General features: G+C 46.3%; 1 protein-coding gene across 2 annotated transcripts, besides 2 other annotated features; it reads left to right on the forward strand.

Moving 5' to 3' along the window:
* Window positions 3,264-3,583: an enhancer, noted in NCBI's record as "active region_374". NCBI's record gives its function as "activates an Ori minimal core promoter by ATAC-STARR-seq in GM12878 lymphoblastoid cells {active_cell/tissue: GM12878}" and the evidence as "EXISTENCE:reporter gene assay evidence [ECO:0000049][PMID:35858748]".
* Window positions 3,275-8,331, forward strand: RPL11 (ribosomal protein L11). 2 transcript variants are annotated; one of them, NM_001199802.1, is made up of 6 exons: window positions 3,275-3,325; window positions 4,108-4,255; window positions 5,303-5,409; window positions 6,156-6,287; window positions 7,294-7,404; window positions 7,840-7,921. In NM_001199802.1, exons 1-6 carry the CDS (start codon window positions 3,320-3,322, stop codon window positions 7,867-7,869), a joined length of 534 nt encoding a protein of 177 aa, NP_001186731.1. In that variant the 5' UTR covers window positions 3,275-3,319; the 3' UTR covers window positions 7,870-7,921. The 2 variants fall into 2 exon arrangements, with proteins under 2 accessions (NP_001186731.1, NP_000966.2); NM_000975.5 differs by having other exon boundaries at window positions 3,302-3,325; window positions 4,105-4,255; window positions 7,840-8,331.
* Window positions 9,046-9,667: an enhancer, noted in NCBI's record as "H3K27ac-H3K4me1 hESC enhancer chr1:24024040-24024661 (GRCh37/hg19 assembly coordinates)". NCBI's record gives its function as "activates a minimal SCP1, AML or CMV promoter by ChIP-STARR-seq in primed H9 embryonic stem cells {active_cell/tissue: H9 hESC(primed)}" and the evidence as "EXISTENCE:reporter gene assay evidence [ECO:0000049][PMID:30033119]".

Consider the following 23,745-nt stretch of genomic DNA (forward strand, 5'->3'; position numbering starts at 1 on the left):
GCTGGAGTGCAGTGGCGTGATCTCGGCTCGCTACAGCCTCCATCTCCCAGCCGCCTGCCTTGGCCTCCCAGAGTGCCGAGATTGCAGCCTCTGCCCGGCCGCCACCCCGTCTGGGAGGTGGGGAGTGTCTCTGCCTGGCCGCCCATCGTCTGGGACGTGGGGAGCCCCTCTGCCTGGCTGCCCAGTCTGGAGAGTGAGGAGCGTCTCTGCCCGGCCGCCATCCCATCTGGGAAGTGAGGAGCGCCTCTTCCCGGCCGCCATCCCACCTGGGAGGTGAGGAGCGTCTCTGCCCGGCCGCCCATCGTCTGAGATGTGGGGAGCGCCTCTGCCCCGCCGCCCCGTCTGGGATGTGAGGAGCGCCTCTGCCCGGCCGCGACCCCGTCTGGGAGGTGAGGAGCGTCTCTGCCCAGCCGCCCCGTCTGAGAAGTGAGGAGACCCTCCGCCCAGCATCCGCCCCGTCTGCGAAGTGAGGAGCCCCTCCGCCCGGCAGCCGCCCCGTCTGAGAAGTGAGGAGCCCCTCTGCCCGGCAGCCACCCCGTCTGGGAAGTGAGGAGCGTCTCCGCCCGGCAGCCGCCCCGTCCGGGAGGGAGGTGGGGGGGTCAGCCCCCCGCCCAGCCAGCCGCCCCGTCCGGGAGGGAGGTGGGGGGGTCAGCCCCCCGTCCGGGAGGTGAGGGGCGCCTCTGCCCGGCCGCCCCTACTGGGAAGTGAGGAGCCCCTCTGCCCGGCCACCACCCCGTCTGGGAGGTGTACCCAACAGCTCATTGAGAACGGGCCGGGATGACAATGGCGGTTTTGTGGAATAGAAAGGGGGGAAAGGTGGGGAGAAGATTGAGAAATCGGATGGTTGCCGTGTCTGCGTAGAAAGACGTAGACATGGGAGACTTTTCATTTTGTTCTGTACTAAGATAAATTCTTCTGCCTTGGGATCCTGTTGATCGGTGACCTTACCCCCAACCCTGTGCTCTCTGAAACATGTGCTGTGTCCACTCAGGGTTAAATGGATTAAGGGCGGTGCAAGACGTGCTTTGCTAAACAGATGCTTGAAGGCAGCATGCTCGTTAAGAATCATCACCACTCCCTAATCTCAAGTACCCAGGGACACAAACACTGCGGAAGGCCGCAGGGTCCTCTGCCTAGGAAAACCAGAGACCTTTGTTCACTTGTTTATCTGCCGACCTTCCCTCCACTATTGTCCTATGACCCTGCCAAATCCCCCTCTGCGAGAAACATCCAAGAATGATCAATAAAAATTAAAAAAAAAAATACATTGTACAGTAATCTTTTAATCAAAACACTGCATCATAGGTGGAGACTGAAAGCCTGCCACTTGTGGTCGCTGTTTTTTGTTTGTTCGTTTGTTTGTTTTGAGACAGGGTCTTGCTCTATCACCCAGGCTGGAGTGCAGTGGTGTGATCTTGGCTCACTGCAAGCTTCTTCTCCTCGGTTCAAGCGATTCTCCTGCCTCAGCCTTCCGAGTAGCTCGGATTACAGGCATGCACCACCAGGCCCGGTTAATTTTTGTATTTTTAGTAGAGACGGGGTTTCACCCCGTTGGCCAGGCTGGTCTCGAACTCCTGACCTTAAGTGATCCACCCGCCTTAGCCTCCCAAAGCGCTGGGATTACAAGTGTGAGCCACAGCACCTGGCCTGGTTGGCGGGGCCGGGGTCGGGTGTGGTGGTGGGGGGAGGGGGGGTGGGTCGCTGTTGTTTCACAGCTGATCCAGGTTTTCTGGTGATGCTCCTCTGCTGCTTAGTTGCCCTGAACACATTACTTTTTCACTGTATTAATGACATAGCATATATTTTGCTGTTAAGAACTTATTTTTTATTTTTGAGACGGAGTCTCGCTCTGTCACCCAGGCTGGAGTGCAGTGGCGCGACCTCGGCTCACTGAAAGCTCCGCCTCCCAGGTTCACGCCATTCTCCTGCCTCAGCCTCCAGAGTAGCTGGGACTACAGGCGCCCGCCACCACGCCCGGCTAATTTTTTTTTTTTTTTTTTTTTGTATTTTTAGTAGAGACGGAGTTTCACCGTGTTAGCCAGGATGGTCTCGATTTCCTGACCTCGCGATCCGCCCGTCTCGGTCTCCCAAAGTGCTGGGATTACAGGCGTGAGCCACCGCGCCCGGCCGCTGTTAAGTACTTATATGTGAATAAGCGTAAGAAAGTATTGCTTATCAATAGCATATACATTTACAGTCTGGAAAAATGGTTAGGCCAACCAACCAGAGATTGTCCACAAGGGTGGCTGAGATAGTGACACCTTTGCTTTCTGATGGTTCAATGTACACAAACTTTGTTTCATGCACAAACTTACTTAAAATATTGTATAAAATTACCTTCAGACTATGTGTATAAGGTGTATATGGAACATAAATTAATTTCATATTCAGACTTGGGTTCCATCCCCAAGATATCTCATTATGTTTATGCGAATATTCCATAATCCGGAAAAATCCCAAATCTAAAAACCGTCTGGTCCCAGGCTTTTCAGGTTAGGAATACGCACCCTGTAGTAACTTGCCCAAGGTCACATAGCTACTAGCTGGTCGAGACAGGACCACATCTGCCTGTCTTCAAGCTCGGGACTCTTAAACCACCACTCCTTTCCGTTTGTATAAATTCTATTTGTGCCCGGAGTGGTGGCTCACGCCTGTAATCCCAGCACTTTGGGAGGCCAAGGCGGGTGGATCATTTGAGGTCAGGAGTTCCATACCAGCCCGACCAACATGGTGAAACCCCATCTCTACTAAAAATACAAACAAATTAGACCGGTATGGTGGTGCGTGCCTGTAATCCCAGCTACTTGGGAGGCTGAGGCAGGAGAATCGCTTGAACCCGGGAGGCGGAGGTTGCAGTGAGCCGATATCGCGCCACTGCACTTCAACCTGGGTGACACAGCGAGGCTCCGTCTCAAAAAATAAATAAATAAATAAATTATATTTGTTTACGTTGTTACAGAATAAATTTGCGTCATAATTTGCATGATTGATTTAATGTAGTTTTGGCGTTCTCATCACACAAGGACCACCAGCTCGTGACACTGGGAGGAGAGAACGTCCTCAAGGTCCGGAAACTCAAGGACGTGCTGATTCGGGAGCTTTCAAAAACTATTTTTGGAAAACCCAGATCCCGGTCTTCAGCCAGCGTCGCCTGCAGTGGCTAGCACTACCCACAAGGGAGAAGCCGACGCTGCAGGGCTTTGCCAAATGCGCCTCTCTTCCTCGTCTTCATCTCTGTGGTTAGCCTGGGAAAAGAGCCCGCCTCCTGGCCCATAAGGCCCTCGGCCGGAAGCTCCGCTTTCTCTTCCTGCTCTCCATCATGGCGGTGAGTAGCTGGGACCTGGATTTGCTTTCCTTTATCCGTCGCCATCCATGGCAGGCCGAGCCTGCGGGGGCTACTTCGCCCGCAGCCCGAGGAATATGGAGCCCGCAATGCCTGCTGGCCCAAAACTAGCAGAGCCGTTCGAGCCAAGGACGCAGGGTTGAATTCTGTCACTTTCCCTGCCATCGTTTTAGGAGCGGCTCCGGGCACTTGCCCGGAGTGCTCAGAAGCACGGTCAGGAGGCTGCAGCGGGGGCAGATGGGGTGAATGGAGGGTTCTGAGGCAGGGGGGTCCGGGCCTTTTCCTGGTCCCGGGGACTTGAGACTTGCTCGGTGCTAGGAAACCTTAGTCGGTTGCTCCGCTTAGGGAAGGTGCCAGCCTTTAGACAGCTTCCGAATAGGATGCTGGACGTCGCATAACCACGTGTTTCCTGTTAACTGAGCAATTAAGTTCTGTTTCTTCGCTCACTCCCCTTAGTTGGCCTTACAATGGGGGCGCTCTTTGTTACCCTGAGCCTCTTAGGGTTCGATCTCAGTGTCCGTATCTTTTAACACTCAATAACTGTCCTGAGTTTTCTCTTCACCCGTTCCGTTCGTGGAGGAAGGATAGGTTCCGAGCTGTCTTCTTCCCTTGATGTCCCCTAAACATTATACCTTTTAAACATTCAGGGTCTTCGTTACGATTTGGGATGAGCAGAAATAAAAATGCTGTGCAGATAGAAAGTAGTAAAACTCAGGGCCCTCAGCTGTGAGTGTATTGACTGCTGCTCTTCCCTGTTGCAGCAGGATCAAGGTGAAAAGGAGAACCCCATGCGGGAACTTCGCATCCGCAAACTCTGTCTCAACATCTGTGTTGGGGAGAGTGGAGACAGACTGACGCGAGCAGCCAAGGTGTTGGAGCAGCTCACAGGGCAGACCCCTGTGTTTTCCAAAGGTGAGTAGTCACAAGGACATACAGGGTTTGCCTGCTTGGGTCGCTTGGTTGTTTCTTGATTTACCTGCTGTCGAGTCTGTTTAGAAAGTGACAGTCGGCATCACTTAAAGCATTAAATTCATGAGCCGGCCAAGAGGTGTCTTTTTTTTTTTTTTTTATTCAAGATGGCGTGTGGGATTGGAACACTAGATTTTATTTGAGCAGATCTTAAGCTAAGACTAGCCCAAGTAAAGATTTTCCTAAGTAACTAGGATATGAGATAGAGTGGAAATGTCAGGAACGAAGTAAAGATCATTAGATCTGATTAGCAGTTAGGGTTATATAGGCTGCATTAAGAACAGGGCTGTACGGGAGCATGAGGCTTCAGTGGCCTATATTAGTGCCACTGCACTCCAGCCTGGTTGACCCTATCTCAAAAGTTGTATACAGATTGCCTGGGTTTGAGTGATGGCTTCACCATTTGCTGGTCTGACTCTGGGCTCTCTGGACCTCTGCTTTTTTCTTTGCATAAAGAGGGTAATACTTTATAATTGTGGAAGATAAAATGAGTTGTACATGTGTAGTTGCTTTAGGACAGTGAAATATGGCAAGTCTTTGGATTCCACTCCTGCTTTTTGTTACCAGCTGTGATGTTTGGCAAGTTAATAAACCTCTCAAAACCTCACCTGTAAAATATGGATAACAGTACAATAAGGTTTCAGCAAATAGTAGATGTTGTCAATAATGCTTTGTTTTCTTTGGAACATGATAATCTTACTAGTGGCTTCTTCGGCCTATTCTGGTTGTGACCTTGCCCTTCCTGGAACTTCGGCGTTATGACTGTTCTTAACTGCTGAAGGATGGCTGGATGTCTGGAAATGGGAAAATCTGTGCTGTGGATGAAATCTTATTAATAGATGTGGGAGACACTAATTAGAACACCACAACTTAAAAGAGTGTGGATGAATGCTTAATGTCTCTTTAAGTCATGGAGATGGTGTTCTGGGAAAGAGGTGAGTGTAGTGGGGGTATGATGGCATCTGACTCCTTGTTACCCACTTCCTGCAGCTAGATACACTGTCAGATCCTTTGGCATCCGGAGAAATGAAAAGATTGCTGTCCACTGCACAGTTCGAGGGGCCAAGGCAGAAGAAATCTTGGAGAAGGGTCTAAAGGTGAGCCTAATCCCCTAATGGAGTGATATTGATCAGCACTCCTTTAGTAACACATGTAGATAAGTTACATTTAATGTTCTGTTCTTTGGTGTCTTGATATTTATTTACTTAAGCTTCTAAAAGGCTTTTTCTACAATCAGCAGGGTTAAACTGTTCTTGGTGGTTTAAAAGATGCTTGAGGCTGGGCACGGTGGCTCAACGCCTGTAATCCCAACACTTTGGGAGGCCAAGGCGGTTGGATCATTTGTGGCCAGGAGTTCGAGACCATCCTGGCCAACATGGTGAAACACCATCTCTACTAAAAAAAGATAAAAATTAGCCGGGCTTGGTGGCGGGCTCCTGTAGTCCCAGCTACTCGGGAAGCTGAGGCACGACAATTGCTAGAACCTGGGAGGTAGAGGTTGCAGTGAGCTGATATTGTGCCACTGCACTCCAGCTTAGGCCACAGAGTGAGACTCTTGTCTCAAAAAAAAAAAAGAAAAAGGATGCTTGGGAGTCATTTCATGCCTCTGCTTTCTCTGGGTTTTTCTCTGCTCTTTGGAAGCTGGGAGAGGTCATACTGGGTAGTTGGGGTGTGAATCTATAGTCGAGGTATAGTGAGGAAGTCAGGTTGTGTTCTCAGCCAAGTTTCATTGACTTCTGTTTGCTCTGGGGTGCATGTTGCAGGCTGAGCTATTAATAGTTACTTGGGGGTGGGAGGGAGTTGAAGATGACAAGGAATGTTATTGCTGCATTTTTCTCCACAGGTGCGGGAGTATGAGTTAAGAAAAAACAACTTCTCAGATACTGGAAACTTTGGTTTTGGGATCCAGGAACACATCGATCTGGGTATCAAATATGACCCAAGCATTGGTATCTACGGCCTGGACTTCTATGTGGTATGAATATTTAATCTTTTCCCGCTCCTGGTCTGTGAGGAGAGGGGAATCTTTATTTCATATGTGGTATGTTGGTGTTCACATGTTGAGTTGCAGCTTTGAATATTGTCTGCCTTTGTGTTCTCCTCCCCCTTGGGGAAATGTGCCTCATTTGTGGCAAATGTAGGGGTGCAGCTCTGAACAAGGTGGACAAGATCCCTGCTGTTGGGGAACTTGCAGTCGAGGATCTGTAAAGCACCCACATGGCTTAAAGGTGGATGAAGGAAACTGTTCCCTCCAGCCAGTGATTTGAAACTTTGGAGAGAGGCAGTATTGGTGCCACATTTGGCCTATGGGTTGGTTGGCTGCACTGAGGCTGTTCTCCCCCTGGTTCTTCCTATAGAAACAGCTTTGGGTGATGCAGTGGTTTGCTCAGGAAGGGGGTTTTAACATAGAAATGACCTTTTGTGTTACTGCCGTGTTTTGGTCCAACAATAAAACTGAATAGCCTAAATCAGAAGTCCTGACTAGTGTGGAACCTGAAAGATGGTGGCACCCTCATTAGACAGACAAGTAATAAGACTTGGATACTCACAGGATGTTGGAGGAACAGCACACCTTTGGGAAGCATTTTTGAGCTGAAGCAGAAGGAAGAAAATATATATATTTGTGCTTCTCAGAGTTGTATGTTTTCTACACTGCTGGTGTGGCAATAGATTTTTAAATGTTACTTTTAAAAAGAAAAATGGAGATTTGGGAGCAGTAATGGAGGATCCTCAGCACCACTGGAAAATAGGCTGGGTTAGGGGGGTGCTGAAAGTTCCAGCCTCCAAAGCAAACTTACAGTATGGCTGTGTGTTGCGTGGGATGCTGGTGGCAGCTTTGTCAGACACAGATCATGGGTCTTGCTCCAGAATCCATTGGGCTGCCAAGTGACTCTTTGAAGATCTGTCTGTAATGTGTGAGTCTTGTCCATCTGCTCTTGACTCTGAGCTGGCTAGGTGACTGTTGGTTATTCCTGGGACAGGTGCTGGGTAGGCCAGGTTTCAGCATCGCAGACAAGAAGCGCAGGACAGGCTGCATTGGGGCCAAACACAGAATCAGCAAAGAGGAGGCCATGCGCTGGTTCCAGCAGAAGGTAAAGCTGATTTATCTCAAGTGAAGTGGTGGAATGTGATGTTGGTGAATGGAGTTGGGATTTGGGGATGCAAAATATAGTACTATTTGCTGGGTATCTTCTTTAAAGTTAGAATATTGGGCATCTTGACAAATCAGGGGCTTCCAGGGATGATGGTTTAAAAGAACATCCAGAACTAGGCCTTCTCCCTGTCACCATGAATGGGGGTAGATGGAAGGGGAGGAATATGGCTTTTAACAGGAGCCCCCTTTCTCAGATGATAGTGCAGTTCAGCACAGTGTAAAAACCAGCCAGCTTCCTATTTAGTCCAGAAAAGGATGGGATTCAGAGCCCAAGTTCATGTATCAATCAGATGTGAATTCTCAAAAGTTAGCCATTGCTGCAATCTCTGCTGTTGCCTCCTGTTCTGAAAAAATTAAATCTCTTCTCTTTCAGTATGATGGGATCATCCTTCCTGGCAAATAAATTCCCGTTTCTATCCAAAAGAGCAATAAAAAGTTTTCAGTGAAATGTGCAATTCTGTTGTGTGTTCTGTGAAAGGATCCTGGCCATATTCAAGTCCTTGGACCTCAAGCCACTTAAAGCTTCGATGGGAGTAGCTGGTAACAACCCCGTCATCCTCTGATTGGATGCCAGTATTTCCTGGCAGATCCAAGTCCAAGCTTCATAGCATTCATTGCCTGTGCTTGCCACACCTTGGTTGATGTGCTGTGGTGCAGTAGCCCCATTTGGAGGGGAGGGTTTGGTTGATGTTGGGGTTTGAATTTAGAGCCTTGGTTAAGCAGGGTGCAGTGCTCCTGTGTTCCAGGAGGCCCCCTGCTATTCAGTGATTCTGTTCTGTACTAGAAATTTTATCAGCATTGATGCGTCATGAAGGAATGACAGGCTTTGGTGTGATGGTTGAGATTAAATTTAGACTTAACTGTTCAGGCTCAGGTTTCTTTTACAATGAGAGTATAAGGTTCTTGGGAGGCAGTATGTGCAGATAAGAGGGCAGTCTTTCCGTTTCCAGCCCTTTCCTTTAACTGTTACCTCGGGTGAGTTGTTAATCTGCCTCAGTTTCCTTATCTGTATCAGGAGGCAGTAATAGTAGTATCTCTCAGAGGATTAAATGATTTAATACTTAACAAAATGCTCAGACTAGCACCAGCCACGTAGTGCTCAAAAGGGGTTTCATTTTTGTGTTTGGGTATAAGAAATATTACTTCTGCTAGCTTGCTTCCCTTTGGTGCAAAAATGAAAATACTTTCCCTGTGGTGATTGTCTTTTTTTTTTTTTTTTTTTTTTGAGACGAGTCTTGCTCTGTTGCCTGGGCTGGAGTGCAGTGGCGCGATCTCACTGCAAGCTCTGCCTCTGGGTTCACGCCGTTCTCCTGCCTCATCCTCCCGAGTAGCTGGGACTACAGGCGTCTGCCACCACGCCCGGCTGATTTTTTTTATTTAGTAGAGACGGGGTTTCACCGTGTCAGCCAGGAAGGTCTAGATCTTCTGACCTCGTGATCCGCCCGCCTTGGCCTCCCAAAGTGCTGGGATTACAGGTATGAGCCATCGCGCCCGGCCCCTGTAGTGATTTTCTATATCTAACTGAAGTCGATGCTCAAAAGCCGCCATTTTTGTTTGTTTGTTTTTGGTGGTGGTTTTTTTTGAGACAGAGTCTCTTTGTCACCCAGGCTGGAGTGTGCAGTGGCATGATCTCTGCAACCTCCGCCTCCTGGGTTCAAGCAATCCTCCCACCTCGGCGTCCCGAGTAATTAGGATTACAGCCATCCACCACCACGCCCAGCTAGTGTTTTTTTGTAGAGATGGGGTTTCACCATGTTGGCCAGGTTGGTCTTGAACTCACCATCCCAAAGTGTTGGGATTACAGGCGTGAGCCACTGCACCTGGCAAAAGCCATCATTTTTCTGACGCAATACTTGGCCATTGGTTCATCATTTTCAATTTCAGGTTTAAATTTTGGAGCGCATGTTAATTCAGTTAGATAATTTACTAATTTGTGACTAATTAGAGTTCAGTTGTCCTTGGGCCACCCGTTCATTGCTGTTCAGAGGTTCTCAAATTTGCTGCTTTTGTAGGTATTTTGAAACCTGGAAATAGATTATTTGGTGTGCCTCATTTTTAAATGAAAATAAAGTTACCTTATCCTGTAAGATGAGCTCTAGTTGGTGAAAGGGGAGAATCGTGGAACATGTTGCCATATACTTTTTATTTCATTTAAAATATGAGCTTTTCATTTCTCAATCTTTTACTACAGGGCCAGGGCCCCCACCTCAAATGGGGTGAAGGAGTCTCATTCTTAAAATTCATCTTCATGTTTATAGGGGGGAACCATACTTGTTTTTTACTAACTTCTGAATTAAATAACATGCCATAAACATGTTTAAGAACAGATCTGGTGAATGGATAGTTAATTAGTGCTGGGTGTGGAGAACAAATGCTGGTTTCATCTAAGTAAAGCATTTCAGAAATACAAAATGTAGAAAGTCTCTCAATTTTAATAATATAAACCTGCTAAGCCTTCATTTGGTCCTTGTGTATTGTCTGTGTACTCAGTTGACTTCTCATTAAAAACAAAACTGCTGTGCTCCTGACCCAGTGGAAGAAGCACTGTTGGGAGTTCAAAGAGCTAACCAGGTTTTAGTCCTAGCTCTAAATGGCATTGAGATTTTGGGCAGGTCATGAAACATCTGGAGGACTGCAACCACTAGAGACAGACAACCACCCAGTAGCTAGACAGCTAGCCCCTATTCTGGCTAGAAGCTTGACTTGCAAACAAATGTCCTATTGGTATCTAAAGCACTGTCATTTGTGGTTGAACTTGTACCAAGTGGGTAGATAGGATCGCCTGGGAGTTTGTTAAAACTCGTGGGCCCTACCTCAGACCTACTGAATTAGAATCTAATTTAACGAGATCTGCGGGTGATTTGTACGCATACTAAAGTGTAGAGGTAGTGGCCAAAAAAAGCAGGAAGGGCATGATACCCAAGGAGGTTTCCTTAATACATTTAGTTCTTATGAAGTTCTTACTGTGTGGTTATTTTTCTCGTTTCTTCAGCTGCTACCCATGAAAGTCTGGGAGTGGACCCTGTCTCAGAAAAAAAAAATGAATAAAAAATTATACACAATAATTACAATACTGAGGCGACAGTGGGTTCTCTTTTACTATTAGAAACACCAAATAGTAAACACAGCTAAGGCTTTTTTTTCCTTTAGACATAGTTGGGAGGTGTTTTTACTTTTTCCCTTTAACAGTTGCGTTCTCAGTACATTGCAGTGGCTATACAATATTTCATTTTGGAAATGTATGGGACATAATTATGTAGCTGGCACTAAATGTCAGGAATGTCAGTTTCATTAAACTATCCAATAGAGGCTCTTTTATCCTGCTGTCTTGCCCTCTGTCCAGTGAGTACCTTTAAGGTCCTTGCAAGGTGTCTTGAGCTGTTCAATGGTGTGGTATTGTGGAAAGAATGCTAAACAGGAAAAAGATTATCCATCTTCATTTGTTTTTGAGACAGGGTCTTGCACTGTCATGTGCTGGAGTGCAGTGGTACCATCACGACTCACTTCAGCCTCAACCTCCTGGGCTCAAGTGATCCTTCTACCTCGATCTCCCGAGTAGCTGGGACTACAGTTGCATGCCAGCATGCCCAACTATTTTTTTTTTTTTTTTTTTTTTTGGTAGAGAAGGGGTCTCACTGTGTTGCCAAGGCAAGTTATCCATGTTCTGATTTTGGTTCTGCTTTCCCTGCTAGCGTTACGACCATGGGCAAGAAACCTGGCAAGTTACAGTCTGGCCCTCTAAAGTGGAGTATGTTGGATTTTTGCGTATAACCCTTTATCTTCTAAACTGTGTGCTTAAGCTTCCTTTTCTTGCAGTTTAACACTCTGGCTAGTCCTAACCTGCTAAACTCAACGCAAATGCTGAGGTGCTCCAGCCAACTGGTGGTTGAAGACCAGAATGAGTAGTCTACCAAAGGCAACTGAGTGCTACAGGGTTAAGGCCCAAGCCTTCTAGGTACTCTGGCCCAGAAACCACCCACACATAGTTTAAGCTGCCAGCCACTGGGGACCATGCTAGTGCCTGGGGATACAGAACTAGTCAGAGCTGCTTGTTATGGAAACCACAATGTGGTTGTCAGAGGGGAATCCAGCCTAAGATACCTGGAGGGCACCAGGAGAACTGAACTTGACTCTGCTTAAGGTGGCAAATGCAGGAAAGCTTAGGAAACAAGTATAAATGGTTTATTTTCACAAATCAGTGAACCAAACTGATGTGTGATGATACCAGTTGACCTTTAACGATTTTAGGAAGTTTTGTAATTACCTTTTGTCAAGATTGATACTTTTTTTTTTTTTTCCCTGAGACGGAGTCTAGTTCTGTCACCCAGGCTGGAGTGCAGTGGTGCAGTCTCAGCTCACTGCAGCCTCTGCCTCCCGGGTTCAAGCTATTCTCTTGCCTCAGCCTCCCGAGGAGCTGGGATTACAGGCGTCCGCCACCATGCCCAGCTAATTTTTGTATTTTTAGTAGAGACAGGGTTTCGCTGTGTTGGCCAGGCTGGTCTCGAACTCCTGACCTCGTGGTCCACCTGGCTCAGCCTAAGATTGATACAATTTTTTATGCAATAAGTATGTAAGTAGTTAACCTGGAATCTAAAAGGAGCTTGAAAGGCAAAGGCATTCAACAATAGGCACAAATGAAATTCTAGACCCTCTCAGTTACCCTGCTTGAACGTATGGCTTTGATAACATGACTCAACTCTGAAATGCTCTGATGATTGCCTCTGGAACACAGTGCTTTATTTTTTGCTTTAAAGATCAGTTCTGTTCAAACATGACATGGCGTATCATAGTGGCTAAGAGCACAGAGTTTGGAATTTAAGGCTGGGGGGATGAAGAGGTTGATTAATGGGTGTAGAAATATAGTTAGAGGAAATAAGACCCAGTGTTTGATAGATCAATAGGGTGACTAGTTAATGATTTGTATTTTAAAATAGAAAATAATTCTTTTTTTTTTTTTTTTTTGAGACGGAATCTTATCGCTCTGTCGCCCAGGCTGGAGTGCAGTGGTGCGATCTCGGCTCACTGCAAGCTCCGCCTCCCAGGTTCATGCCATAAAATAGAGAATAATTCTAATGTTACCAGCATAAAGAAAGATAAATGTTTAAGGTAGCAGATATCCCAGTTACCCTGATTTGATCATTACACATTGTACGAATGTATCAGAATATCACATGTACTCCAAAATATGTACATCTATTTTGTTTCAATAAAAAAAACAGGCCAGGCATAGTGGCTCATGCCTGTGATCTCAGCACTTTGGGAGGCCTAGGTGGGCAGATCACTTGAGTGCAGGAATTCAAGACCAGCCTGGGAAACATGGAGAAACCCCACCGGGAGTGGTGTTGCGCACCTGTAGTCCCAGCTACTCAGGAGGCTGAGGTGAGAGGATTGCTTGAGCTGGAGAGGTGAAGGTTGCAGTGAGCTAGATCATGCCACTGCAATCCTGCCTGGGCAACAGAGGGAGACCCTGTCTCAAAAAAATAAAATAGGGCATGGTGGCTCACACCTATAGTCCCAGCACTTTGGGAGGCAGAGGCAGGAGGATGGATTGAGTCCAGGAGTTTGAGACTAGCCAGTGAGACCTTGACTCTACAAAAATTAGCCAGGTGTGGTGGCATGCACTTGTAGTCCTAATTACTTGAGTTTGAGGCTGAGGCAGGAGGATCCCTTGAACTCAGGAGTTTGAGGCTGCAGTGAGCCATGATCGCATCACTGGGCAACCAAGCAAGACCCTGTGTCTAATTAAAGTAAAAAATTTAGGCTGGGCATGGTGGCTCATGCCTATAATCCCAGCACTTTGGGAGGCCAAGGAGGGTGGATCACGAGGTCAGGAGATGGAGCCCATCCTGGCTAACATGGTGAAACCCTGTCTCTACTAAAAACACAAAAAATTGGCCGGGCTTGGTGGCGGGTGCCAGTAGTCCCAGCTACTCAGGAGGCTGAGGCAGGAGAATGGCGTGAACCTGGGAGGCGGCGCTTGCAGTGAGCTGAGATCGCTCCACTGCACTCCAGTCTGGATGACAGAGCGAGACTCCGTCTCAAAAAGATAAGAAATAAAAAAATTTTAAAGTGTAAGCATCTCAGATGCCTTGCAGGAATGTGGGATAAAGTGCTCAGAATGTTCCCTGGCAGATAGTATAGGCTTGTTTTCCGTGAAGAGCCTGTAACTGCCACTTGGTTCCCCTTCCACCCCTGACATTAGGAAATAGTTGTGCAATGGTTGTTACTCTCAGGGTGGTCACTTAGGCAAACTCCAGAGGAGGGTGTACTTCCACTGATTATCCTTCTAGCCCCTTTCCCCCAAATCCCCAAGGAAGGCTGGGAATCATCAAAATGGAGTTGGCCTTTACTTGTCAACAATTGAGTAAATCCTAAATACGGACGAACACCCAAGTAGCTCCTGAATTACAATTAAAGGAAAAACATTTCTTAAAATGGAAGGTGTATGTACTTTGTAGCGGATATTCTGTAATCTCAGTCACAGGGCCATGTCTTACTCTATATTGCTAGTGTCTGGCCCTTGAGACCAGCTTGTTGCTCAGATTGGACACAGACAGCAACACTGCCACTGACTACCTGGGTGAGAAGGTGGGCAAGTTAGCCAGCCTCTCTGGGCCTCAGATCTTGTGTAAAATAGGTATAACACCTACCTTACAGGGTTATTTTCAGAAATTAAAGATAGTATATGTAAATCACTCAGCATATATAGTAGGAGCTGTTTAAAGTATTGTAAATATTATGTAATAATTGAGTATATTCTTGGTATTCTGTGGTAAGCTTAAATTTAAGAGGCTTTATTCTGTGATTTGAGCATCATTCTTTGCTGGTGAAGAAAAGAAGACAAGGAATTCATTTAATATTTGAGTGCTTACCTACCTGAAGCATAGCATTGAACCAGATGGATATATAGTCCCTGCTGCTAGGTGAGCAAAAATAAGTATTAATACTTGTGCCTCTTCTGCCTGTTTTTCAGGTAGAAAAAAACCCAGTGCCCCTCTTTGACATTATTTAAATAAGATTTCTCCTCAATATAACAGTATAGTGACATTAACTATGTTTTTTCAAATCATTTCTTACCACCACCAAAAAAAAAAAAAAAAAAATTTTGTACCACCTGTGGGCATTCCAACCCCCTCCTTCCCAAGTATAGGAAAACACTGGATGAGTTGGGTCCTGGTACCTGTAGTCCCAGCTACTCAAGAGGCTGAGGGGTGAGGATCACTTGAGCCCAGGAATTTGAGGCTGCAGTGAGTCGTGATCACATCACTACACTCCACACCGGGTGACAGAGTAAGACCCTCTCTAAAGGAAAAAAAAAAAAGACCAGGGGCAGTGGCTCATTCCTGTGATCCCAGCACTTTGGGAGGCTGAGGCAGGTAGATCACCTGAGGTCAGGAGTTCAAGACCAGCCTGACCAACATGGTGAAACCCCGTCTACTAAATACAAAAAATTAGCCAGGCCTGGTCGTGGGTGCCTGTAATCCCAGCTACTTGGAAGGCTGAGGCAGGAGAATCGCTTGAACCCGGGAGGCGGAGGTTGCAGTGCACTGAGGTTGTGCCGTTGCACTCCAGCCTGGGCAACAAGAGCCAAACTCCCATCTCAAAACCATATATATAATATAAATAATATAATATATAATATATACAATATAAATATATATAGTATAATATATAATATACATATTAATATATAATATATAAATATATAAATACATATATAATATATAAATATATATTACATAAATACATATGTAATATATAAATATATATTACATAAATACATATATAATATATAAATATATATTACATAAATACATATATAATATATAAATATATATTATATAAATACATATATAATATATAAATATATATTATATAAATACATATATAATATATAAATATATATTATATAAATACATATATAAAAATATATATAAATACATATATAATATATACACAGATTCCTGAACTCTTCTCAGAAACTTGGTTTTTGTAGGGCTCAAGAATTCACATTCTTACAACACTGAAGGTTGAGAATCATTGTTTTCTCAACAGCAGTGGCTTTCAAAGGTTTTTGACTACAGTTCACAGTAAAAAAAAAAAAATCCCTTCAGAGTAGCGGAAGGGCAAAAAATGTATTTTGTATATCACTACATACATATATACTCACCTCTGGAAAAAGCTTCATGAAACAACCTTACTACAGGTAATGCAGTCCTATTGTATAGTTGTTTACTTTTTTTTCCTAATGCTGATCTCTCTCTCTCTCTTATTTATTTATTTATTTTTTTGTTTGTTTGTTTTTAGACAAGGTCTTGCTTTGTTGTCCAGGCAGGAATGCAGTGGTGTGATCTCAGCTCACTGCAACCTCTGCCTCCCAGGTTCAAGCGATTTTCCTGCCTCAGTTTCCTTAGTTGGGACTACAGGTGTGCATCACCACGCCCGGCTAATTTTTGTAATTTTAGTCGGGTTTTCAGCATGTTGGCCAGTCTGGTCTTGAACTCCTGATCTCAAGTGATCTGCCCGCCTTGGCCTCCCAAAGTGCTGGGATTACAGGTGTGAGCCACAGTGCCCGGCCCCTAATGCTGATTCTAACCCATTGTATTAGTCTGTTTTCACACTGCTATAAAGAACTACCTGAGACTGGGTAATTAAGAAAAAGAGATTTTAATTGACTCATAGTTCCGCATGGCTGGGGAGGCATCAGGAAACTTAAAATTATGGTGGAAGGGGAAGCAAGGCATGTCTTACAGGGTGGCAGGCGAGAGAGAGCACAAAGGGTGAAGTTTTAAACCATCAGATCTCTGAGAACTCTATCACGAGAACAGCATGGAGGAAACCACCCCCATGATCCAGTCACCTCTCACCAGGTCCCTCCCTCCACACGTGGGGATTACAATTTGAGATGAGATTTGGGTGGGGCACAGGGCCAAATCATATCACCTATTAAGGAGCTTGTTTTTTGTGACAGGGACTTGTTCTGTCACCCAGGCTGGAGTGCAGTGGTGTGTTCACAGCTCACTGTAACCTCTAACTGGGCTCAAGTGAGCCTGCCTTGGCTTCCCAAGGTGCTGGAATTATAGGCATGAGCCACTACGCCCAGCCCAGTAAGTAGATTTTAATCCGCAATTTGAAAAACGCTGCAGTGTGTGATGTGTTGATCAAGTTTCAACCACAGAGGCAGAAGTTCTGAGCTAGAAGAGCCCTCAGAGGTCATTTAATCCACCAGTCCTTAAGCCTTGCACAGTACTGGGCTGGGTATAGGAGAATCACCTGAGATATTTGTTTAAAATGTGCATTCCAGGCCCCAACTCCCGAGAACTTAAAATGGAACAAAGGACTCTGTTTAAAGTTTAACGAGCTTCCTAGGTGAGTTGTATGCACAGCCAGATTTGGGAGTTCTCCAATGCAACCCTTACCAGTAAAGGCCCTCCAGAATGGTGGAGGGTTTGAATTTGCCTCTGCTGTGTGGAGGGCAGGCTTTCTCAGTTTGAAGTAACACCTTCAGGTTACTTAGGAAATACAATTATTTACCTGATACTTTGTTTAAAAGTTATAAAAGAACTCTGTTACTACTGAATTTGCAGGTTTGACATGTTTATTGTATTACTTTCTAGTATACTAAAATAAAGATGTAACTGTTTAAAAAATGTGACTGGCTGGGTGTTGTGGCTCATTTGGAAGGATTGCATGAAGCCAGAAGTTTGAGACCAGCCTGGGCAACATAGCAAGACCCCCCATTGCTACATATTTTTTTATCTAAATTAGCCGGCTGGGTGAGGTGGCTCACGCCTGTAATCCCAGCACTTTGGAAGGCTGAGGCAGGTGGGTCACCTGAGGTCAGGAGTTTGAGACCAGCCTGACAAATATGGTGAAACCCCGCCTCTAATGAAAATACAAAAATTAGCGGGGTGTTGGCAGGTGCCCGTAATCCCAGCTGCTTGGGAGGCTGAGACAGGAGAATCGCTTGAACCCGGGAGGCAGAGGTTGCAGTGAGCCGAGATTGTGCCATTGCACTCCAGCCTGGGTAACAGAGTGAGATTCCATTTCAAACAAACAAAAATTAAAAATAGGCCGGGCGTGGTGGCTCACGCCTGTAATCCCAGCACTTTGGGAGGCCGAGGCAGGCAGATCACAAGGTCAAGAGATCAAGACCAACCTGGCGAACATGGTGAAACCCCATCTCTACTAAAAATACAAAAAAATTAGCTAGGCGTGGTGGGCGCCTGTAGTCCCAGCTACTCAGGAGGCTGGGGCAGGAGAATAACTTGAACCCGGGAGGCAGAGGTTGCAGTGAGCCAAGATTGCGCCACTGCACTCCAGCCTGGGTGACAGAGTGAGACTCTGTCTCAAAAAATTAAAAATAAAAATAAAAATTAGCCAGGTGTAGTGGTGCATGTCTTTGGTCCCAGCTACTTGGGAGGCTGAGGCAGGAGGATTGCTTGATCTCAGGAGTTGAAGGCTGCAGTGAGCTGTGATCACACCACTGCACTTCATCCTGGGTAAGAGTGGGACACCTGTGTCTTAAAAAAAATAAAATAAAAAGGCCAGGCACGGTGGCTCACGCCTGTAATCCCAGCACTTTGGGAGGCTGAGGCAGGTGGACTGCTTGAGCTCAGGAGACCAGCTTGGGCAACATCAGTGAAACCCTGTTTCTACCACAAAAATTAGCCAGGCAGAGGCCGGGCATGGTGGCTCATGCCTGTAATCTCAGCACTTTGGGAGGCCGAGACGGGAGGATCATCTGAGGTCGGGAGTTCGAGACCAGCCTGACCAACATGGAGAAACTCCATCTCTACTAAAAAAAAATACAAAATTAGCCGAGCGTGGTGGCACATGCCTGTAATCCCAGCTACTAGGGAGGCTGAGGCAGGAGAATCGCTTGAACCCGGGAGGCGGAGGTTGCGGTGAGCTGAGATTGCGCCATTGCACTCCAGCCTGGGCAACAAGAGCGAAAACTCCATCTCAAAAAAAAAAAAAATTAGCCAGGCATGGTGGCGGGTACCTATAGTCCCAACTACTGCAGGAGAATTGCTTGAACCTGGGAGGCAGAGGTTGCAGTGAGCCAAGATCACACCACTGCACTCCAGCCTGGGAGACAGAGCAAGCAAGCCTTTGTCTCAAAAAAAAAAGAGAAAAAACAAAAAGAAAAATTTTTTAAAAGTGTGTCCACGGCCGGGCGCGCTGGCTCATGCCTGTAATCCCAGCACTTTGGGAGGCCGAGGCGGGCAGATCACCAGATCAGGAGATCGAGACCACCCTGGCTAACACGGTGAAACCCCGTCTGTACTAAAAATACAAAAAAAAATTAGCCGGGCGTGGCGGCGGGCGCCTGTAGTCCCAGCTACTCGGGAGGCTGAGGCAGGAGAATGGTGTGAACCTGGGAGGCGGAGCTTGCAGTGAGCCGAGATCGCACCACTGCACTCCAGCCTGGGTGACAGCGCGAGACTCCATCTCAAAAACAAAACAAAAGTGTGTCCACTAAAGTCACTTATCCAGTAACTTTTTTTTGAGCGTCTACCATGTGCTGGGCACTGTTTAAGGGGCATAGGATACATCAGTGAACAAAGACAAAGATCCCTGCCTTGGAGCTTACATTCTAATGGAGGGAGACAGACAATAAGCAATCCACGAGTAAATTACAGAGAATGTTATAGGATGGTATGTGTGTTGGGAAAAGAAAAAGTAGAGTGGGGTGAGGGGGTGAGGAAAGGCTGGTCAGAGGAGGCCTCACTGAGAAGATGAGATTTGAAGTGGGTAAGGGTTGGGCACTTGGATCTGTGAGGAGGAGCTTTTGGAGAGATGGAAGACTAGAGCAAAGGCCTTCAGGCAGAGGTGCGTTATAGCACTGAGCCCACTACAGCCAGGCAGTGTGAGAGGGCAAGAGGAGGAGGGGGTCAGAGATGATGGGCAGCCGCTGTGCAGGCTGTGTAGGGTGTTAGAAAGACTATGGCCTTTACTGGGAGCGAAATGAATCACTCCTTGCTAGGTTGGCAGAGGCATCACATGATCTGACTTCCATTTTAAAACTGTAACTGCATATTAAAAACAGAATATGGGGGGTAAGGGTGGAAGCAGGAAGACTTATCAGAAAGTATTGTCAGCTCAGTGCTCTTGTGCAACTGTAGTCCTATCTGCTTGGGAGGCTGAGGCAGGAAGATGGCTTGAGCCCGGGAGGTTGAGGCCAGGCATTCATGCTGGTCCAGACGTCGTGGCAGCATTGGAGGTGGTGAGACATGGGCAGATGATAGATACATCTTGAAGGTAAACCAGCAAGATTTCCATGGACAACTGGATGAAAGATAAGAGAGAAAGTGAAGTTGAGAATGACTCAAGTTTCTGGCCCCTAGCAAAAGAAGTATGGAGTTGCTGTTAATTTCGATGGAGAAGGTAGCATGGAACAGATTTGACAGTTAGGAATTCCATTTTGAACATGCGTAACTTAAAATCTATCATCTAAAGGAAGATGTTGAGTAGGCATTCTGGAGGCTGGTCTGCAGATATCTGTTTGGAGGTCTTCAGCATAGGGAGGTCCGTATTTACAGTCTTGAGACTGGATGAAGTCATAGGGGAGTGAGTATGACAGAAAGGGAAAAGGACCCAGGACTGAACCTTAGGGTACTTAAGCATTAAGAGGCCTGAGAGGCGGCCGGGCACAGTGTCTCACACCTGTAATCCCAGCACTTTGGGAGGCCAAAGTGCGAGGATTGCTTGAGGCCAGGCATTCGAGACCAGCCTGGGCAACATAGCAAAGCCTCATAGTGAGTCTCTATTAAAATTGTTTTAAAAAAACTAGCCAGGCATGGTGGTGCATACCTGTAGTCCTAGCCACTTGGGAGGCCAAGACAGGAGGATTGCTTGAGTCCAGCAGTACAACACTGCACTGAGCTGAAATCACACCACTGGACTCCAGCCTCAGCAAAAGAACAAGACCCTGTCTTGGCCGGGCGCAGTGGCTCACGCCTGTAATCCCAGCACTTTGGGAGGCTGAGGCGGGCAGATCACAAGGTCAGGAGATCAAGACCATCCTGGCTAACACGGTGAAACCCTGTCTCTACTAAAAATACAAAAAATTAGCCGGGCGTGGTAGCGGGCATCTGTAGTCCCAGCTACTCGGGAGGCTGACGCAGGAGAATGGCGTGAACCCGGGAGGCAGAGCTTGCAGTGAGCCGAGATCGCACCACTGCACTCCAGCCTGGGCGACAGAGCGAGACTCCGTCTCAAAAAAAAAAAAAGAAAAAAAAGAACAAGACCCTGTCTCAACTCAAAAAATAAGAATAATAATAGTAATAAAAAGAGTTGTGAGGAAACAAGAGGAATTGGCAAAGGAGAAAGAGGGACCGGTAAAGTAGGAGATAAACCAAGTGCCTGGTAACCTGGAAGTAAAGTCAGGGTGTGTGAAGGAGGAGGGATGATGAACTGAGGTGAGTGCTCCCAAAGAGTCCGGTAAAACGAGGACTTTGAATTAGGCATTGGACTTCACAGCATGAAGGCCTCTCGTGGCCTCTCTGGAGCAGTGCTGCCAGGGTGATGGGCCAGAAAGCCTGAGTATAGTGGGCTTCAGAGAGAAGGTGAGGAGAGTGACTGGGGACAACTGGTAGACAATGCTTCCAAGGAGTTCTGCTGTCAAGGGGAACAAAAGTGGGAAAAAAACTTTCTATGACTGAGAAAATCCAGTAGAGAGAAAAATTGATGTGGGAGAAGGGAGACCTGCAGTAGCAATATCCTTGAGTGGGTGAGAAGGGTTGGCTTGTAGCACACAGAGGGGGTTTAGACTTGGATAGAAGCGTGGCTGGGGTGTTGGTGATAAGTTGGGAGCCTGCCTGTGTGAGTGCACATGTTGGCTGGTGGTAGATACGGGATGGAGTTCTGTGGATGTGCCCGGCCGCCTCTCAGGCCTCTTAATGCTGAAGTACCCTAAGATTCAGTCCTGGGTTCAGTTCTCTTCAGTTCTCTTCGCATTGCTTTCATTTTCTCAGTGAAGTAGAAATAAAGGTAGGGATGAGTCACTGGGAGAGTCCTGCGCCATGTGTGGGGAACTCTACCTGAGGGCAGGACCCTCAATGCAGCCTCTATGGGTAAAGAAATAGGTTTGAGAGGTAAAGAGCCATGCGCAGGATCACACAGCTGGTTAGTAGCAGAGCCAAGCCTAACCCAGATGGCCTGGTTTCCTGCCTAGCATCTGACAGATCCATAAGAGACAAATCATTTCACCATCTTGACAAGGTTGAACTCTCATGGCTCTTCCTAGTAGTGTCTCAATCTGCAGGTCTGTTCTGATACAGAGATGTCCTGCAAGCAGCTCTTTCCTCTCTGTCTGTGCTTTCTGGGTTCTGCCTTGCCTGCCTTCCAGCTGCTCTGCATCTTTGTCCTACAAGATCAGTGATGCTCAAATTTGAGAGTACATTAGAATCTCCTGTACGGCTTGTAAAAGCTGGATTGTTGGGCCCCCACCCTCAGAATCTCTGATTCAGTAAATCTGGGGTGTCTGAGAATCTGCATTTCTAGCAAGTTCCCAGGTGATGCTGAGGCTGATCCCGGAACCAAGCTTTGAGAACCACTGTGTTAGACTATAAATATCCCTCTTGGATTCAGGTTCATGAAGGAACTGTGTTAGATTATATACATCCCTCTTGGATTCAGGCTCATGAAGGAACTGTGTTAGACTATATACCTCTCTCTTGGATTCAGGTTCATAAAGGAACTGTGTTAGACTATATACATCCCTCTTGGATTCAGGTTCATCCCTCTTGGATTCAGGTTCGTGAAGGAACTGTGTTAGATTATATACATCCCTCTTGGATTCAGGTTCGTGAAGGAACTGTGTTAGAGTATATACATCTCTCTTGGATTCAGGTTCGTGAAGGAACTGTGTTAGACTATATACATCTCTCTTGGATTCAGGTTCGTGAAGGAACTGTGTTAGACTATATACATCCCTCCTGGATTCAGGTTCGTGAAGGAACTGTGTTAGACTATATACATCCCTCCTGGATTCAGGTTCGTGAAGGAACTGTGTTAGACTGTATACATCTCTCTTGGATTCAGGTTCGTGAAGGAACTGTGTTAGACTGTATACATCCCTCTTGGATTCAGGTTCGTGAAGGAACTGTGTTAGACTGTATACATCCCTCTTGGATTCAGGTTCGTGAAGGAACTGTGTTAGACTGTATACATCCCTCTTGGATTCAGGTTCGTGAAGGAACTGTGTTAGACTATATACATCCTCTTGGATTCAGGTTCGTGAAGGAACTGTGTTAGATTATATACATCCCTCTTGGATTCAGGTTCGTGAAGGAACTGTGTTAGACTATAAACATCTCTCTTGGATTCAGGTTCATGAACTCGGAAGGCATCTATCTGTCCTCTGTCAAGCCTTAGGAGTGCCTCCCATTGATTCTGTTCTAAGAATGTTTGCTGAACTCATTCATTTGGCAAATTTTTATTGTGTGCCTGGCTGTGTGTTGGGATCTGGGGGATACAGCACAGAGAACCCATTCAGCTGTTAAGTGGTATAGCAGAGATTGAACCCAGGCAGTCTGGCTCCAGAGGCCATGCTGTTAATCACCACCTTAATACACCAGCACCATACTGACCCTTCCTCATTGTCGTCAGAGAGATTGAAAGAGAACTGGAAAGAGAATGACTTTCTCACTTTGTGATTCATTGTTAATTAATATGGTATCCATGTGCCATCTAAAATCATTTGGGCTGCCAGTAGTGCCACCCCACACTGTAGGATACAGCAGGTTAGAACACAGGGTGACATATGGTGTGGCAGGAGTTTGCTTAGGTAGTTCTGTGAGCACTGTGTGAAGGAGTGGTGGGGCGGGAGGTGGTGGGGGGAGCGGATTACAAAAAACCCGTTTGATTTAAATCTATTATCATGACAAACCAGGCAAAGAAAAGAGTTTGGAGAAAAGTCATCTCAGGCAAGGCAATAGGGATCACCAAGTTATGGAAGCAAGAAGGATATTAGGTATTTGGTATGCCTGGAGTTGAGAGAGTGTTGGGGGCCTGACAGGAAATGGGACTGAATTGACTAGATTTTTGAAGGGCCTTGAACATCAACCTAAAGAGCCTGAGCCTGATCTTGAAATCCAGTCAGCTGCATTGGGAAGGGCATGGGCTCTGGAGCCATCGAGATCTGGGATGGAATCCTAGTTCTGGCTCTTAATAACCTTGTGATCTTCATGACTTTCTTAATTTATCTGAATTCAGTTTCTTTGGTAAATAGAAATAAATAGTCCTATCTGACTTGGTTATGAGGAGCAAAAAT

Source organism: Homo sapiens, chromosome 1 (assembly GCF_000001405.40).
Source record: "Homo sapiens chromosome 1, GRCh38.p14 Primary Assembly".
In the NCBI taxonomy this organism is placed as follows: Eukaryota; Metazoa; Chordata; class Mammalia; order Primates; family Hominidae; genus Homo; species Homo sapiens.

Bases quoted from the DNA above. Each gene is read 5' to 3' on its own strand.
- RPL11 (NM_000975.5), top strand. The intron at 6,288-7,293 runs GTATGAATATTT...TTCCTGGGACAG, and splicing joins ACGGCCTGGACTTCTATGTG to GTGCTGGGTAGGCCAGGTTT. The intron at 7,405-7,839 runs GTAAAGCTGATT...CTTCTCTTTCAG, and splicing joins TGCGCTGGTTCCAGCAGAAG to TATGATGGGATCATCCTTCC.